At 51.4% G+C, this 17236-nt stretch overlaps 1 protein-coding gene across 3 annotated transcripts in view; it reads right to left on the bottom strand.

The window, feature by feature from the left end:
- Positions 1–17236, bottom strand: part of CLIP2 (CAP-Gly domain containing linker protein 2) — a 116529-nt gene that overhangs the window by 74470 nt on the left and 24823 nt on the right. For all 3 annotated transcript variants that reach the window (NM_003388.5, NM_032421.3, XM_047420800.1), the window contains exon 2: positions 13799–13986. In NM_003388.5, coding sequence (NP_003379.4) covers positions 13799–13919 — 121 coding nt within the window. In that variant the 5' untranslated portion in view covers positions 13920–13986. The remainder of the gene's footprint in view (positions 1–13798; positions 13987–17236) is intronic.

Here is a 17236-nt window from a genome sequence, read left to right as displayed (position 1 = left end):
CAGGACCTTACACCCAACATCCTGAACCCACATGACCTCCTTCCTCAGCTCTTGCCAAAGCTCCTCCACCATCCTCCATATCTCAGGAGGCCCTGCAACCACCCATGCACTCAGGTTGCAAATCGCCATTGCTCTACTGGCTCATCCTTCCCCCAGTCTAGCAATTCCACGGAAGAAATCACTCCTAATTCATTTATGCCTCCTTCTCAGGGCTCAGAGGCTCACCTGAATTTTTTTTTTTTTTTTTTTTTTTTTTTTTTGAGATGGAGTCTCACTCTGTCGCTCAGGCTGGAGTGCAGTGGCATGATCTCGGCTCACTGCAACCTCTACCTCCTGGGTTCAAGTGATTCTCCTGCCTCAGCCTCCCGAGTAGCTGGGATTACAGGCGTGTACCACCATGCTTGGCTAATTTTTTGTATTTTTGGTAGAGACGGGGTTTTGCCATTTTGGCCAGGCTCATCTCGAATTCCTGACCTCAGGTGATCCACCCACCTCAGCCTCCCAAAGTGCTAGGATTACAGGTGTGAGCCATAGTGCCCAGCCAGAAATCTTAATATGTTTTAAAAGAAAAAATAAAATAAGGAATGCACTCTTTAGTCTATTTCCCAAGGAAATAATTTAGAAAAGGAAAAACTGACTCACTATTTTGACCTTCACAAAAATAAAAAACTGAATCTAAGAGCCTCCAAACCAAGGAGCAGTTACATAAATTATGGTCACATTATTCAGATTATTAAGCAACCTTTAAAACATTATTTGTCCAGGTTATGTAGGACAGTGTTTATGATGTGATTCTTGGTGACACAGCAGAGTTCAGGAGCATCCCGACATCCAGCACAGGGCATGGTGGCCTGGGGGTAGGGGAAGAGGAATAGGGAACAACAAAAAATGAATCAATTAAGAAACACCGGCTGGGTGTGGTGGCTCACACCTGTAATCCCAGCACTTTGGGAGACCAAGGCAGGCGGATCACCTGAGGTCAGAAGCTCGAGACCAGCCTGGCCAACATGGCGAAACCCCATCTCTACTAAAAATACAAAAATTAGCAAGGCATGGTGGCGCATACCTGTAATCCCAGCTACTCGGAAGGCTGAGGAAGGAGAATCGCTTGAACTTAGGAGGTGGAGATTGCAGTGAGCCGAGATTGCGCCACTGCACTTCAGCCTGGGTGACGGGAGCGAGACTCCATCTCAAAAAAGAAAGAAAAAAAAAAAAAAGAAAAGAAACACCAAGAGGAAGCTAGGCACAGTGGCTCAAGCCTGTAGTCCCAGCTACTGAGGAGGCTGAGGCAGGAGGATCGCTTGAGGCCAGGAGTTCAAGATCAGCCTGGGCAACATAGAGAGATCTCATCTCTACAAAAAAGTAAAAATAATAGAAAATAAAAAATAGCCGGATGCAGTGGCTCACATCTGTAATTGCAGCACTTTGGGAGGCCAAGGCAGGCGGATGGCTTGAGGCCAGGAGTTCGAGACCAGCCTGACCAACATGGCGAAACCCCGTCTCTACTAAAACTACAAAAATTAGTCAGTGTGGTGGCGCGCGCTTGTAATCCCAGCTACTCGGGAGGCTGAGGCAGGAGAATTGCTTGAACCCAGGAGGCAGAGGTTGCAGTGAGCTGAGATCGTGCCATTGCACTCCAGCCTGGGCCACAGAGCAAGACTCTGTCTCAAATAATAAATAAATAAATAAATAGATAAATAAAATAACCAAGAGGGACCTTGCAGGGACCCACAATGTTGACATGTGATGAAGTGAATGTGTGATGAACTCAGCCCTCTGCCCCAGTGGTTTGGGGGCAGATAAAAAAGTGTCCTCTGCTAGGATCTGGTTCCTTCTTAAATGTTCCACAGAACATAGCTCCACAGGCTGTTCCTAGGTATTATGAAAACAAACAAACAAACAAACAAACAAACAATTTAACCTCCAAGTTCAAAGAAGCTTGAGAAACAGCAACTTCAACAAAGTGAAGGGTACTTGTCTGCAGGACTTTTCAGAGCCTTTGATGTACCAATGAGCACGGTGACCACAAAGGAGGGGCTATAAATAAGGCGACCACATGATTTAACATTCAAACCCGGGTGCTTCTGGGAATGAGAGGTGCTCTTAATATAGCATCATGCTGGCCGGGTGTGGTGGCTCATGTCTGTTATCCCAGCACTCTGGGAGGCCGAGGCGGGAGGATCACTTGAGCTCAGGAGGCAACATAGCGAGACTTTGTCTCTATAAAATAATAGAAAAATGGCCGGGTGCGGTGGCTCACGCCTGTAATCCCAGCACTTTGGAAGGCCGAGGAGGGCGGATCACGAGGTCAGGAGATCGAGACAATCCTGGCTAACACAGTGAAACCTCGTCTCTACTAAAAAAAAAAAAAAAAAAAACCAAAAAAAAAAATTAGCCAGGCATGATGGCGGGTGCCTAACGGTTACTTGGGAGGCTGAGGCAGGAGAATGGCCTGAACCCGGGAGGCGGAGCTTGCAGTGAGCTGAGATCGCACCACTGCACTCCAGCCTGGGCGACAGAATGAGACTCTGTCTCAAAAATATATATATATATAAATAATAATACAAAAATTAGCAGGGCATGGTGGTGCGCACCAGCTACTTGGGAGGCTGAGAGAGGAGTTGGAGGCTGCAGTGAGCCATGATCGCACCACTGCAGTCCAGCCTGGGTGACAGAGTGAGACCCTCTCAAAAGAAATAAAAGAAAAGAAAAAAAGGCATTTTACCAATACCACAGGCATCAAGCAGGCTGTTTCAGGCAAAGCTCCATCCTTCTGCCTTGAGTACAGCACTTTACCCTTAGGATCACCTAAGGAAGTCCTCATGCCCGTCCATAGCAACTCCACATCCCCTCATCTGCAGCCATCTCAAGGGGCCCACTGTGTCTCTCTCCCTCCCAACCCCATGGGGCTCTGTTCCCCCTTGGTTTGCACAACCTGACTCCCAGGCTAACTGGGGTGCATGTCTGCACACCCCCAGAACATGAGCCCCAGGAGGTGGACTCACACCAACTCCCCTCTCATCCCCTGGACCCCCTGGGCTGAAATGCAGACGGGCCACACACCTGACTCCCGCTTCCTGGTGGCCCCAAAGGAACATGCATCAGTGCCCCAAAAATCTCAAATGGCTTTCTCTCCTGAGCCTCCTTTTCTCTCCCGAAGGTGCTCAAAGGCAGAGGTTACGAAGGAAGGAATGGGGTCTCCACAGCATTCCTTGAAGAGGCCACTTTCCCTCCGGCAGTCCCCGCATTGGGTCCACCCCAACCTGTTTCCACCCCTCAGTCCATGCCTGCTCCAGGGAGGACCGAGTCTACATCCCCCAGCCCACCCCGACCAGGGAGGGGTCCGTCTGAAACTCACCTCTCTCCTGTGGTCACCCCAGGCCCAGCCTCTGCAGCATCCAGCCCTAAAGAAGGGTTCCTCCCTCCAGCAGCCCACACCGTCCTGAATCCCAGGCTCTGCTGGGCATTCTTCCTGAACCAAATGGAACTCCAAACCCCACTTCTGTGCCCCCTCCTCCCAAACCAGGAGAACAGAGTCTCTGCTCAGCAGAGGCGGCCGGGGAACCCAGGGCAAGAGCGGCCCGGATGGCTTACCCTGGAAAGAACAGAGCCAGCTCCCCATGGAGAAGCCCGTGGCCAGGCCACCAGGCAGGCAGACAGGTGCTGGCAGCCGGACCCCCGCCCCGTCAGATCGATCCTGGACCACGTCAGGGACATTAGGAGGCAGCCCTGCCCCCACCCCCACCAGCCACAGAAGAGCGGGCTTGGCTTCCCCGTCCTGATGCCATTAAAAAGTTTAGGATGTGGTCAGTGGAGAGCCGAGAAGTTGCCCTTGAAGGGACGAATTTGCCCAACATCTCAGACAAGTCACTTAAAATGGGGACAATCCTACCTGCTCTCCTGGGGCTGGGAAGGCTCCTAGAAATGTATGGAAAGGAAAGAGAAAGGCACCATCCTCTGTGGGGGTGGGGGCCCCACCTCGGGCACTTCAGGTTGGTGCCAAGGTCTGGAACACTCACGGGGTACAGGGACATTGAGCTCAGTGAACTAGAACCACAATGCTGACCGAGTGAAGTGGCTCACGCCTGTAATCCCAGCAGTTTGGGAGGCCGAGGCAGGTGGATCACTTGAGATCAGGAGTTCGAGACCAGCCTGGCCAAGATGGTGAAACCCCAACTCTACTAAAAATACAAAAATTAGCTGAGTGTGGTGGCACATGCCTGTAATCCCAGCTACTTGGGAGGCTGAGGCAGAAGAATTGCTTGAACTTGGGAGGTGGAGGTTGCGGTGAGCCAAGATTGCACCACTGCACTCCAGCCTGAGCAACAGAGCGAGACTCTCTCTCAAAAAACAAAACAAACTTTGAAGAACTGCCAAACTTTCCTGAAGCAGCTGTACCATTTTACATTCCCACCAGCAATATATGAGAGTTTCTTGAACCCGGGAGGTGGAGGTTGCAGTGAGCTGAGATCGTGCCGCTGCACTCCAGCCTGGGTGTCAGAGTGAGACTCCATCTCAAAAACAAAAACAGGCCAGGCACGGTGACCCAGGCCTGTAATCCTAGCACTTTGGGAGGCCGAGGCAGGCGGATCACGAGGTCAGGAGTTCAAGACCAGCCTGGCCAATATGGTGAAACCCCGTCTGTACTCAAAAATACAAAAATTAGCCAGGCGTGGTGGCACATGCCTGTAATCCCAGCTACTTGGGAGGCTGAGGCAGGAGAATCGCTGGAACCCAGGAGGTGGAGGTTGCAGTGAGTCGAGATTGCGCCACTGTACTCCAGCCGGGGTGAAAGAGAGAGATTCCGTCTCAAAAAAAAAAAAAAAATGCTCTGGGCCCAGCCCTGTGTGTGTACTAGAGAGCAGCTGAGGATAGCATATAGGAGGTGGGCCTTGCCTCACATAGCCCAACTCCCCGTCTAAGGGTGGGTAACACTCCCACACATACTTGTCCTCAATCTCCTGGATCCCCAGCATGAGGCAAGGCCACAGGAATGTTAGGGGACAGTTGTGACCAACCTAATGGGAACAGGTATGTCCTCCTCCCATCCACCTGTCTGGGGCATGAGCCAAATGTGTGGGGCTGATACTGGACTTGGTCCCCCAGGCACCCCACCCCTGGGGAGGCAGCAGGCGCTCAGTCTGGCATGAGTCTCAGCTCTGGCCCTGTAACCCTGGGCAACGCAGCTGAGACTCCAAGCCTCGGTGGTCTCATCTTTATTTTTATGAGACAGAGTCTTCCTTTGTTGCCCAGGCTGGAGTGCAATGGTGTAAACTTGGCTCACTACAACCTCTGCCTTCCAGGTTCAAGCCATTCTCCTGCCTCAGCCTCCTGAGTAGCTGGGATTACAGGCATGTGCCGTCGCGCCCGGCTAATTTTTGTTATTTTTAGTAGAGACGAGGTTTCACCATGTTGGCCAGGCTGGTCTCGAACTCCTGACCTCAAGTGATCTGCCCTCCTCGGCCTCCCAAAGAGCTGGGATTACAGGCATGAGCCACCATACCCAGCCAATGGTCTCATCTTTAAAATGAAAACAATGGCACATGGTTGGCCCCTGTGCTCATCAGTCCCATCAGTCCTCACCCAGGATCCAGGTCACTGCAGCCCAGCCCCCCAACTTTTTTTTGTTGTTTTGAGATGGAGTCTCGTTCTGTTGCCCAGGCTGAAGTGCAATGGCGTGATCTAAGCTCACTGCAACCTCAACCTCCCGGGTTCAAGCGATTCTCCTGCCTCAGCCTCCCAAGTACCTGGGATTACAGATGTGTGCCACCACGCCCAGCTAATTTTTGTATTTTTAGTAGAGACGAGGATTCACCATGTTGGCCAGGCTGGTCTCAAACTCCTGACTTCAAGTGATCCACCTGCGTCGGCCTCTCAAAGTGCTGGGATTACAGGCGTGAGCCACCATGCCAGGCCCTCAGGGCCTTTGCAGCCTCTGTTCCCTCTGCCTGGATGTTTTTCCCTGAACGGCAGCTGGGGCGACTCCTGCTCATCACTTGAATCCTTGCTCCAATGTCACCACTGGAGCCAGGCCGTCCCTGACCACCCTGTCTGCACCAGCCTCCAGGTGTGCTCGGTCACACCCGGCCAGGCTGTCCCTCGCCACGCTGCTCCACCCAGGACTTTGCCCCCAGGTGGATCCCAAACCGCCCTCCTGCCCACCTGCTCTGACCACCTCTCCCTTGTAGCCCTGCACCACCTCCTAGCGTGAGAGACCCTCTCAAAGGTCCCCCTCAAATGCTGCTCCCTGTGTGGCACAGCTCTGAGGATACAGGCCCTCCCCTCTCCACTGGGTGGGCAGCAAGGGCACCAGTCCAGGCCCTGTCCCTTGGCCAGATCCTCTGCCGGAGGCTGAGCTCATGTTTTGGGAGGCAGCCACAACCCCGTTCCCAGAGCAGACTCCAGCGTGCTCCCCTCCCCACAAACCACTGCCAGGCCCCGGCCTCTGCCACACACATCTCGAGCTGCCCACTGCCCAGGGTCCCAGCCTCTGATGGATGTGGCCGCCTCCAGCCCCTCGGAGAACAGATGGACAGTTGCATGGGTGGGTGAGGGAGCCCGAAGGGCCAACAGGACTGGGGGGACCGTCCTTCCCTGGCTCTTCCACCTGTCACTCTTCCCAGAGGCTTTTTTTTTTTTTTTTTTTTCTCAAGATCTTGGAACAGGAACAAAAGCAGCAGAATTCTCCCTTTCTCTCTCCTGGAGTTTGGCTGTCTCAGCCAACTCGGTTTTGCTCCAGGCTGGCCACCTCCTTCCCCAGCCTGGGAGTCTAGTTCTGCCCTGCAAAGGCAGCAGCCGGGGTGCAGTGAAGGGAGAGGACACCACCAAGCCCAGCCACAGCCTCTGCTGCCACCATCTCCAAGGTCAGGCACAAGGTGTGGCTCCCCTGTCAATTGGGGATTCTCGGAGGGACACTTTCTCTCTCTGGGACAGCTTTGAGGGTGGAGGCCCAAGGCAGTCCGACCACCCAGTCCTTGTCCCCATCCCCAGACCACCGGGCAATGTGACTAGGAAGCAGGTGGCACGCCACACACCACACTACAGTCCGTTCCCTCCAGGGAACCATTCAGATGACAGCAGGTGATATCACAGTAGCACAGGGAGGTGCTTCCCATAGGATGCAATAAGATGAGAAAAAGTAGAATGCACAATCTAGCTGTTTAAAACAACTTGTGGCCAGGAACGGGGGCTCACACCTGGAATCCCGGCACTTTGGGAGGCCGAGGCGGGAGGATCACCTGAGGTCAGGAGTTTGAGACCAGCCTGACCAACATGGCGAAACTCTGTCTCTACTAAAAATACAAAATTAGCCGGGCATGGTGACGGCCACCTGTAATCCCAGCTACTTGGGAGGCTGAGGCAGAAGAATCGCTTGAACCCAGGGGGCAGAAGTTGCAGAGATCGTGCCACTGCACTCCAGCCTGGGCGAAAGAGCGAGATTCCATCTCAAAAAATAAAAATAAATAATAAATAAAACCACAACTTGTGTAATAGGAAAAAAGACTGGAAGGAAATACAGTCATGCATCACTTAACGACGGGGATACCATCTGAGAAATGCATCATTAGGCGATTTTGTTGTCCTGTGAACATCACAGAGTGTACTTACACAAACCTATATGGTCTAGTCCACTGCTCCTAGGCTACAAACCTATTTAGCATGTTACAGTACTCAATGCTGAAGGCAACTGTAACACGAGGGGAAGTGTTTGTACATCTGAACATAAGACATCTAGGCCAGGGCCAGGCGCACTGGCTCATGCCTGTGATCCCAGCACTTTGGGAGGCCGAGGCAGGCAGATTACCTGAGTCAGGAGTTGGAGACCAGCCTGGCCAACATGGTGAAACCCCATCTCTACTAAAAATACAAAATTAGCCAGGTATGGTGATGGGTGCCTGTAATCCCAGCTACTCAGGAGGCTGAGGCAGGAGAATTGCTTGAACCCAGGAGGTGGAGGTTGCAGTGAGCCAAGATCATGCCACTGCACTACAGCCTGGGCGATGGAGTAAAACTCTATCTCAAAAAAGAAAAAAAAAAAGAAAAGAAAAGGAAAAAAAAAGATATCTAGGCCAGCCATGGTGGCTCACGCCCTTTGGTAGGCTGAGGTGGGAGGATCGCTTGAGCCCAAGAGTTCATGACCAATGAGGACAACAAATGCAAGACTCCGTTTCTACAAAAAATTTACAAGTTAGCCAGGCATGGTGGCACCTGCCTATGGTCCCAGCTACTTAGGAGGCCAAGGCAAGAGGATCGCATGAGCCCAGGAGGTCGAGGCTGCAGTGAGCTATGATTACGCCACTGCACTCCAGCCTGGGCAACAGAACGAGACCCTATCTCAAATAAATAAATAAATAAATAAATAAATAAATAAATAAATAAATAAAACATAGCTAAACATAGAAAAGGTACAGTAAAAATAAGTTTTAAAAGATAAACGGGCCAGGCGCGGTGGCTCATACCTGTAATCCCAGCGCTTTGGAAGGCCGAAGCAGGTGGATCACAAGGTCAGAAGATCAAGACCAGCCTGGCCAACATGGTGAAACCCCATCTCTATTAAAAATACAAAAATCAGCTGGGCATGGTGGTGTGTGCCTGTAATCCCAGCTACTTGGGAGGCTGAAGCAGGAGAATCGCCTGAACCAGGGAGTCGAAGGTTGCAGTGAGCCAAGATCGCGCCACTGCACTTGAGCCTGGTGACAGAGCGAGACTCCATCTCAAAAAAACAAACAACAACAGCAAAAAACAAAGATAAACAATGGGACAGGTGTAGTGGCTCACGCCTGTAATTCCAGAATTTTGGGAGGTCAAGGTGTGAGGATGGATTGCTTGAGGCCAGGAGGTGCATCCTGGTCAATATAATGAGATCCTGTCTCCTGTCTGTTTGTTTTTTGAGACGGAGTCTCACTCTGTTGCCCAGGCTGGAGTGCAGTGGTGTGGTCTCGGCTCACTGAAACCTCTGCCTCTTGGGTAGCTGGGATTACAGGCATCCACCACCATGCCAGGCTAATTTTTTTGTATTTTTAGTAGAGATGGGGTTTCGCCATGTTGCCCAGGCTGGTCTCGAACTCCTGACCTCAGGTGATCTGCCTGCCTTGGCCTCCCAAAGGGCTGGGATTACAGGCATGAGCACCTGGCCAAGATCCTGTCTCTTAAAAAAAAAAGATTAAAAAATGGAGGCCGGTCACAGTGGCTCACGCCTGTACTCCCAGCACTTTAGCAGGTCGAGGCCAGTGGATCACTTGAGGTCAGGAGTTCGAGACCAGCCTGGCCAACATGGTGAAACGCCGTCTCTCCAAAAAATACAAAAATTGGCCGGTGTTGTTGCACATGCCTGTAGTCCCAGCTACTCAGGAGGCTGAGGCAGAAGAATCGCTTGAACCCAGGAGGCAGAGGTTGCAATCAGCTGAGATCGTGAGATCGTGCCACTACACTCCAGCCTGGTCGACAGAGCAAGACTCTGTCTCAAAAAAAAAAAAAAAGGAAAAATAAAATAAAATAATAAAAATAAAAAAGAAAAGAAAATAGGGTACACCTGTCTGGGGCACTTAACACGAATGGAGTTTGCACGTCTGGAAGCGGCTCTGGGTGAGTGAGTGAGTGAATGTGAAGGTCTAGGACATGACTGATGACTGTACACTACTGCAGACTTTATAAACACTGCACGCTTATTTTTTATTAAAAAATAAAAATAAAATAAAGGCCAGGCGCGGTGGCTCACACCTATAATCCCAGCACTTTGGGGGGCCAAGGCGGGGGGATCACAAGGCCAGGAGTTCAAGACCAGCCTGGCCAAGATGATGAAACCCTGTCTCTACTAAAAATACAAAAAATTAGCCTGGCGTGGTGGCGGGCGCCTGTAATCCCAGCTACTTGGGAGGCTGAGACAGAGAATCACTTGAACCCGGGAGGTGGAGGTTGCAGTGAGCCGAGATCGCACCACTGCACTCCAGCCTGGGTGACAGAGCGAGACTGTATCTCAAAAAAAATAATAATAATAATAAATAAAATAAAGTAATTGCGCTGCAACATGACAATGGCTAAAACTCAGGAACTGCCAATGTCGGCAATAGGAAATGCTCAGCTCTGTTAGAATCCTGTGGGACCACGATAAACATGGTCCATCCTTCACGGAATCCTGGTTAGGCTGTGCAGTGATGAGGTTAAGTGGTAAGGGGGAAGGGAGAAGGTTAAAGGATAATGGACGTTTTTTTCTTTTATCACTTTCAAATTTTCCTGTAATGAGATGATGGATGGGTGAAAGGGAAAGAAATTAATCTTTAATGAGTTTTCTACCTGCAGGCACTCCATGTTCATTAACTCGCTTGATCCCATTAGGGAGATGCTATTATCCCATTTGTGGCTCAGAGAGGTTAGGTCACTCTCCCAGGGTCACACAGCAGGAGCAGGGCTAGGAGGGGCATGAGAGCTGGATCACAGCCAGAATTTGGGCCTCTCTAGATCGGGGAGGAACAAAGGGGAAAGTACCCAGAAGGTTCAATAAGACTCTCTCGCTGCACGCCATGCCCCAGCCCCAGGGTTGGGCTGGGCGGGTGCCCTTCTCTAGCCATTAGGTTACACAGCCTCACTCCTCACTGGACCAAGCTCAGCCCACTGGGTGCCTTGACTCACGACCTTCCCCCACTGTCTGCAGATCCTTCCTCCTCCTCCTCTTCTCATTTTCAAACTCCACCCACTGCCCTGCCCCCATTATCAAGGCTGAGCTCATTCACGCTTCTTCCAGGAAGTCTTCCCTGATTGCCCACGCATGGTAATGAGCCCTTCCCTCCCCCGGATAACCACAGCCTCCTCACTGGTATCCCCACCTGGCTCTTAACCCTACAATCCGTTCTCTGCACAGTGGCCCAAGGGATGTGAACAAGGTCCCATCACTCTTCCATTGGTATCCTCCAGCCGCTCCCACCATCCTTTTTTTGTTTTGTTTTTGAGTCAGGGTCTCGCTGGGTCACCCAGGTTGGAGTGCAGTGGTGTGATCAAAACTCACCGCAGCCTCGACCTCCTGGGCTCAAGCGGATCTCCTACTTCAGGCTGCCAAGTAACTGGAACCACAGGTATACACCACCGTGCCTAATTTTTTTTTTAAGTAGAGATGAGAGGTCTTGCTGTGTTGCTCAGGCTGGACTCAAACTCTACTGCTCAAGCGATCCTCCTGCCTCAGCCTCCCAAAGTGCTGGGATTACAGGCTTGAGTCACTGTGCCCGGCCCCCACTGCTCTTTTTCCTTTTTCTTTCTTTTTTTTTTTTTTTTTTTTTGAGATGGAATCTCACTCTATTGCCCAGGCTGGAGTGCAGTGGCGCAATCTCAGTTCACTGCAAACTCCGCCTCCCGGGTTCAAGCAATTCTCCTGCCTCAGCCTCTCGAGTAGCTGGGATTACAGCTAATTTTTGTATTTTTAGTAGAGACAGGGTTTCATCATGTTGGCCAGGCTGGTCTCCTAACCTCAAGTGATCCTCCCGCCTCAGCCTCCCAAAGAGCTGGGATTACAAACTTGAGTCACTGTGCCCAGCCCCCACCACTCTTAAAACAAACCCAAACCCTGTGTCCTTCAGATCTGTCCTGGCTGCCCTCCCTAACCTCTTTTCACACTCCTCTCCATCCAGACTTTTCTTCTTTCTCTCTCTCTTTTTTTTTTAGGGTCTCACTCTGTCACTCAGGCTGGAGTGCAGCGGTGTGATCATGGCTCACTGCAGCCTCCAACCCCTGGGCTCAAGCAATCCTCCTGCCTCACCCTCCTGAGTACTTGGGACTACAGGCACACACTACCATGCCTGGCTAATTAAAAAAATTTTTTTTGTAGAGCTGGGGTCTCACTATGTTCCCCAGGCTGGTCTGGAACTCCTAGGCTCAAGTGATCCTCTGGCCTCAGCCTCCCAAAGTGCTGGATTACAGGCGTGAGCCACCATGCTGGCTTCTCTTTCTTTCTTTATTTTATTTTATTTTTTGACAGAGTCTTGTTCTGTTGCCCAGGCTGGAGTACAGTGGCATGAGCTCGGCTCACTGTAGCCTCCGCCTCCTAAGTCCAACCGATTCTCATGCCTCGGCCTCCCATGTAGCTAGGATTACAGGTGCCACCACATCCCGCTAATTTTTGTATTTTTAGTAGAGACGGGGTTTCACCATGTTGGCCAGGCTGGTCTCGAACTCCTGACCTAGGTGATCCTCCAGTGTTGGCCTCCCATAGTGCTGGGATTACAGGCATGAGCCACCGTCCCCGGCCTTTTTCTTTCTTAACAAATCAAATTCATTCCAGCCTCAGGGCCTTTGCATCACCCATTCCCTCCACGTGGAACACCTCTTCCCCACCCCACCTCATCCCCCGAATTTTCTCTTGTCTGGCTTCTCACTGCTGGAGAGGATTTGCCACCCTAGAGCAGAGCCTGGGCCTTCACAAGGCTGCACTGGGCAGGCCTTTCCCATGGGCTTCTGCCGACGGGCCTCACCCTGCAGCTTCCTCGCCCTTTCACGCTGCCCATTTGGCTCTGCCAGGGACCCTGTCCTGCCAACTGCCCATGATTTTGGCTCAAACTTTCCTTGACCCCCTTCCCCAGGACCCAGGTTGTCCAGTCTGGCCCCAGCTGTGTTTGTCTCTCCAAACTTTGTACCAATCAGATAAGATGGGCAGTGACCTATCCTGCTGGCTGGAGTATCATCAAAGCCAGGCTTTGTGCACAAAGATGTTCATCACAGCATCATTTATCAAAGTGATAAGTAACAAACGATCGTCATTTTTTTTTTAAATGGAGTTTCACTCTTGTAGCCCAGGCTGGAGTGCAGTGGTGTGATCTCGGCTCACTGCAACCTCCTCCTCTTGAGTTCAAACGATTTTCCTGCCTTAGCCTCCCAAGTAGCTGGGACTATAGGCGCCCGCCACCATGCCCGACTAATTTTTGTATTTTTAGCAGAGACAGGGTTTTCCCATGTTGCCCAGGCTGGTCTTGAACTCCTGACCTCAAGTGATCCTTCCACCTCGGCCTCCCAAAGTGCTGAGATTACAGGCATGAGCCTCCATGCCCAGCTCAATTACAGTTTTTTAAACTGCAGAGAATAGGTAAGAAATTGCTGCTAGTTCCTTCCATCATACTCATCTTGGTTTAAACCCTCCCGTAGCTCTCATTATTAGGATGAAAATGAAACTCCCCGCACACCTCCAAGTCACCCAGGTCCACCTGCATTGCAGCAGACTGCCCCAGCCACCCCCACGCTCTCTCCCTCTTCTGTACGCATGACGCTCCTTTCTGCCTCTGAGCATTTGCATGTGCTGTTCCCTCTACTTGGAATACTCTTCCCTCTTTTTTTTTTTATTTTTGAGACAGAGTCTCACTCTGTTGCCCAGGCGATTCTCCTCTCTCAGCCTCTCGAGTAGCTGGGATTACAGGCACCTGCCACCACGCCTGGCTAATTTTTGTATTTTTAGTAGAGATGGGGTTTCACCAAGTTGGCCAGGCTGGTTTCGGTCTCGAACTCTTGACCTCCAGTGATCCAGCCGCCTCAGCCTCCCAAAGTGCTGGGATTACAGGCGTGAGCCACCGTACCTGAACCTTTTCCTCTTCAGCTAGTGAATCACCTATTCACCCTCCAGACCTCAGCGCCCATGTCCCCTCCCTGGGGAAACCTCTGCCAACCTCCCAGTGTTGATCAGGCCCCATTACAGGAGCTCATGACACTCAGCGTCCCCCATCAGATTGGTCACAGAGTGGCCTGTGCTCCTGGGGCTCTTCCAGAAGAACACTCATCCCATGTAGCCAGTCCCCTCACCCCCCATCCTTGGTGTGCCACGTACCTTCCTTGGAGCTAGCGGCCACCGCCGCCGAGGATGAAGCTGACCCAGTAGATGTCCGGCCCATGGGGCTGGAGTGCTTCCCCCCACGGCCGGGGGGCTTCAGGCCGCTGGGCTTCTGCATGGCGGTGCCACTGGGCAGGTGGACAAGGGTGAGTGCTGGTCACGTCCTCTCTGCCATCTTCACTCACCTGCGGGCAGAGACAGGAGAGATCACATCATCACTTCCCAATGGCCCCCAGACCCTCAAGGGCCATCAAGCAACACACATCCCTCCTGAGGTGGGCTGGACGAGGCAACACCCGATTTAACCTATCAGCTCACTGCTCCCGTTGCCGCACAGGCCAGATTCCCGCTCTCAGACTCACCATCCCAGCACGCACCCCCTCTACTGCATGGGCAGGACAAACACACAGAGAGGCTATTGCCTTACCCTCTTATATCCTGGTGTGCAGTTACCTGCCTCAACTCCACACCAGGCCGTCATCTAGCCATGACCTCTGCCTGCCTTCCCACCATTAAAGCTTTGTGTCTTTATTTATTTGGTTGCAGAAATTTATTACAATTGAAAGATGTTTCATCTTCTATCCCAAGAGCATCCATCAAACTGTTTGCAACAAAGACCACTTTTAGACTGGGTACAGTGGCCTGTCATCCCAGCACTCTGGGAGGCTGAGGCTGGTGGATCGCTTGAGCCCAGGAGTTTGAGGCTGCAGTGAGCTCCAGGGCACTCCAGCCTGGGTGACAGAGTAAAACCTTTTCAAAGCGTGAGCTGCATGCTGACTATGGTCATTAAAAGCCCTAAAAGGGGCCAGGTGCAGTGGCTGATGCCTGTAATCCCAGCACTTTGGGAGGCTGAGGCGAGTGGATCACTTGAGGTCAGGAGTTCAAGACCAGGCTGGCCAACATGGTGAAACCCTGTGTCTACTAAAAATACAAAAATTAGCCAGGCTTAGTAGCACATGCCTGTAGTCCCAGCTACTCGGGAGGTTGAGGCACAAGAATCACTTGAACCCAGGAGGCGGTGGTTGCAGTAAGCCGAGGTCACGCTGCTGCACTCCAGCCTGGACAACAGAGTGAGACTCTTGTCTCAAAAGAAAAAAAAAAAAAGCCCTAAAAGGGCTGGGGGCAGTGGCTCACACCTGTAATCCTAACACTTTGGGAGGCCAAGGTGGGAGGATTGCTTGAGGCCAGGAGTTCAAAACCAGCCTTGGTAGCGTAGCAAGACTTTGTCGCTACAGAAAATAAAAAATAAAAAATTAGCCAGGCGTGGTGGCGCATGCCTGTAGTCCCAGCTACTTGTGGGGCAAAGGTGGGAGGATTTTTTGAGCCTGAGAGGCCAAGGCTGCAGTGAGCTATGACGGCACCACTGCACTCCAGCCTGGGTGACAGAGCAAGACTCTGTCTCAAAACAAAAACAAAAACAAAAACAAAAAAATGCAGTCGTAAAATAGAACAAGATGATGTCCTTTGCAGGGACATGGATGGAGTTGGAAGCCATTATCCTCAGCAAACTAACACAGGAAAAGAAAACCAAACACCACATGTTCTCACTTGTAAGTCGGAGCTGGACAATGAGAACACATGGACACAGGGAGGGGAACAACACAATGGGGCCTGTTGTGGGGGCGGGGGGAGGGAGAGCATCAGGAAAAATAGCTGATGCATGCTGGGCTTAATACCTAGGTGATGGGTTGATAGGTGCAGCAAACCACCATGGCACACGTTTACCTATGTAACAAACCTGCACATCCTGCACATGTATCCCAGAATTTAAAATTTAAAAAAAAAAAAAAAAGGGCTGGGAGAGGTGGCTCACGCCTGTAATCCCAACACCTTGAGAGGCTGAGGTGGGCGGATCACCTGAGGTCAGGAGTTTGAGACCAGCCTGGCCAACGTGGCGGAAACCCCAACTCTGCTAAAAATACAAAAATTAGCTGGGCATGTTGGCGGGCACCTGTAATCCCAGCTACTCAGGAGGCTGAGGCAGGAGAATCACTTGAACCCAGGAGGAGGAGGCTGCAGTGAGCCGAGATCGCACCACTGCACTCCAGCCTGGGCAACAGAGTGAGGCTCCATCTCAAAAAAAAAGAAAAAAGAAAGAAAAGAAAAAAAGAAAAAACAAGGGCCAGGTGTGGTAGCTCATGTCTGTAATCCCAGCACTTTGGGGGGCCAAGGCAGGAGGATCACTTGAGCCCAGGAACTCAAGACCCACCTGGGCAACATAGTGAGACCCTGTTCTCTACAAATAATAAAAACAAAATATTTTTAAAAGGGCTAAAAGCAAAGATTACATATTAATCATGGCAAAAAAAAAAAGTGTGTGATGCTTGCTAGTACAGTAACCTCAGAATCAAAAGCTTTGTGTCTTTATTATTTTTTTAAATGTATTTTTGTGACGGACTCTCGCTCTCTCGCCCAGGCTAGAGCGCAGTGACAGCATCTCGGCTCACTGCAACCTCCACCTCCCAGGTTCAAGCCATTCTCCTGCCTCAGCCTCCCAAGTAGCTGGGATTACAGGCACCCGTCACCACGCCCGGCTAATTTTTGTATTTTTAGTAGAGACAGGGTTTTGCCATGTTGGCCAGACTGCTCTCAAACTCCTGACCTCAAGTGATCCTCCCGCCTCGCCTCCCAAAGTGCTGGGATTACAGGCGTGAGCCACCACGCCCGGCCAGCTTTGTGTCCTTATGATGAAGCACAGAAGAGCTTATAGGAGCACCAGCGCTTTACAAAAGGGACTCTGGAGAGGAGCAAAGCCTCCAGGCATGATGCTATCTGTTTAGGGGGTCAGGGGGCAGCAAGATGGGACTGGCTGCAGGGGGCCGGAGGGGTGGACAAGCCCCCCACCCCCAGGCCTCTTCCCCACTATCCTATACTCACAAACTTTCCTGCACCCAATGTTTCCAGAAGGCTCACCATGAGCCAGGCCCCATCTCTGCCCCAGAGCTGCAGGCAGGACTCGGCCTCTGCCCTGGGGAGCACCGTCCAATGGGGAGAGAAAATTCAGAGCACCATAGTCGGATGGAGGATTCCAGGCAAAAGCATCCTCATGTCTGGACCTCGGAAACACAGGAAATCTCTGATACAGGAGATGCCCTTGTCTGTCCAGCCATATCTGTGGTCACAGATTTTGAAGAAACCTTTTCTTCACTCATTTTGTTATTATTATTATTTTTAGAGACAGGGTTTTACTCTGTTGCCCAAGCTGGAGTGCAGTGTCATGATCTCAGCTCACTGCAACCTCTGCCTCCTGGGTTCAAGTGATTCTCTTGCCTCAGTCCCCTGAGTAGCTGGGACTACAGATATCTGCCACCATGCCTGGCTAATTTTTGTATTTTTTGTAGATGTGGGGTTTCACTATGTTGGCCAGGCTGGTCTTGAACGCCTGACCTTAAGTGATCCTCCCACCTCTGCCTCCCACAATGCAGGGATTACAGG

This window comes from Homo sapiens, chromosome 7, assembly GCF_000001405.40.
Source record: "Homo sapiens chromosome 7, GRCh38.p14 Primary Assembly".
In the NCBI taxonomy this organism is placed as follows: Eukaryota; Metazoa; Chordata; class Mammalia; order Primates; family Hominidae; genus Homo; species Homo sapiens.
The sequence above is the reverse complement of the archived record's forward strand: the minus strand, read 5'-3'. Positions and strand labels throughout refer to the sequence as shown.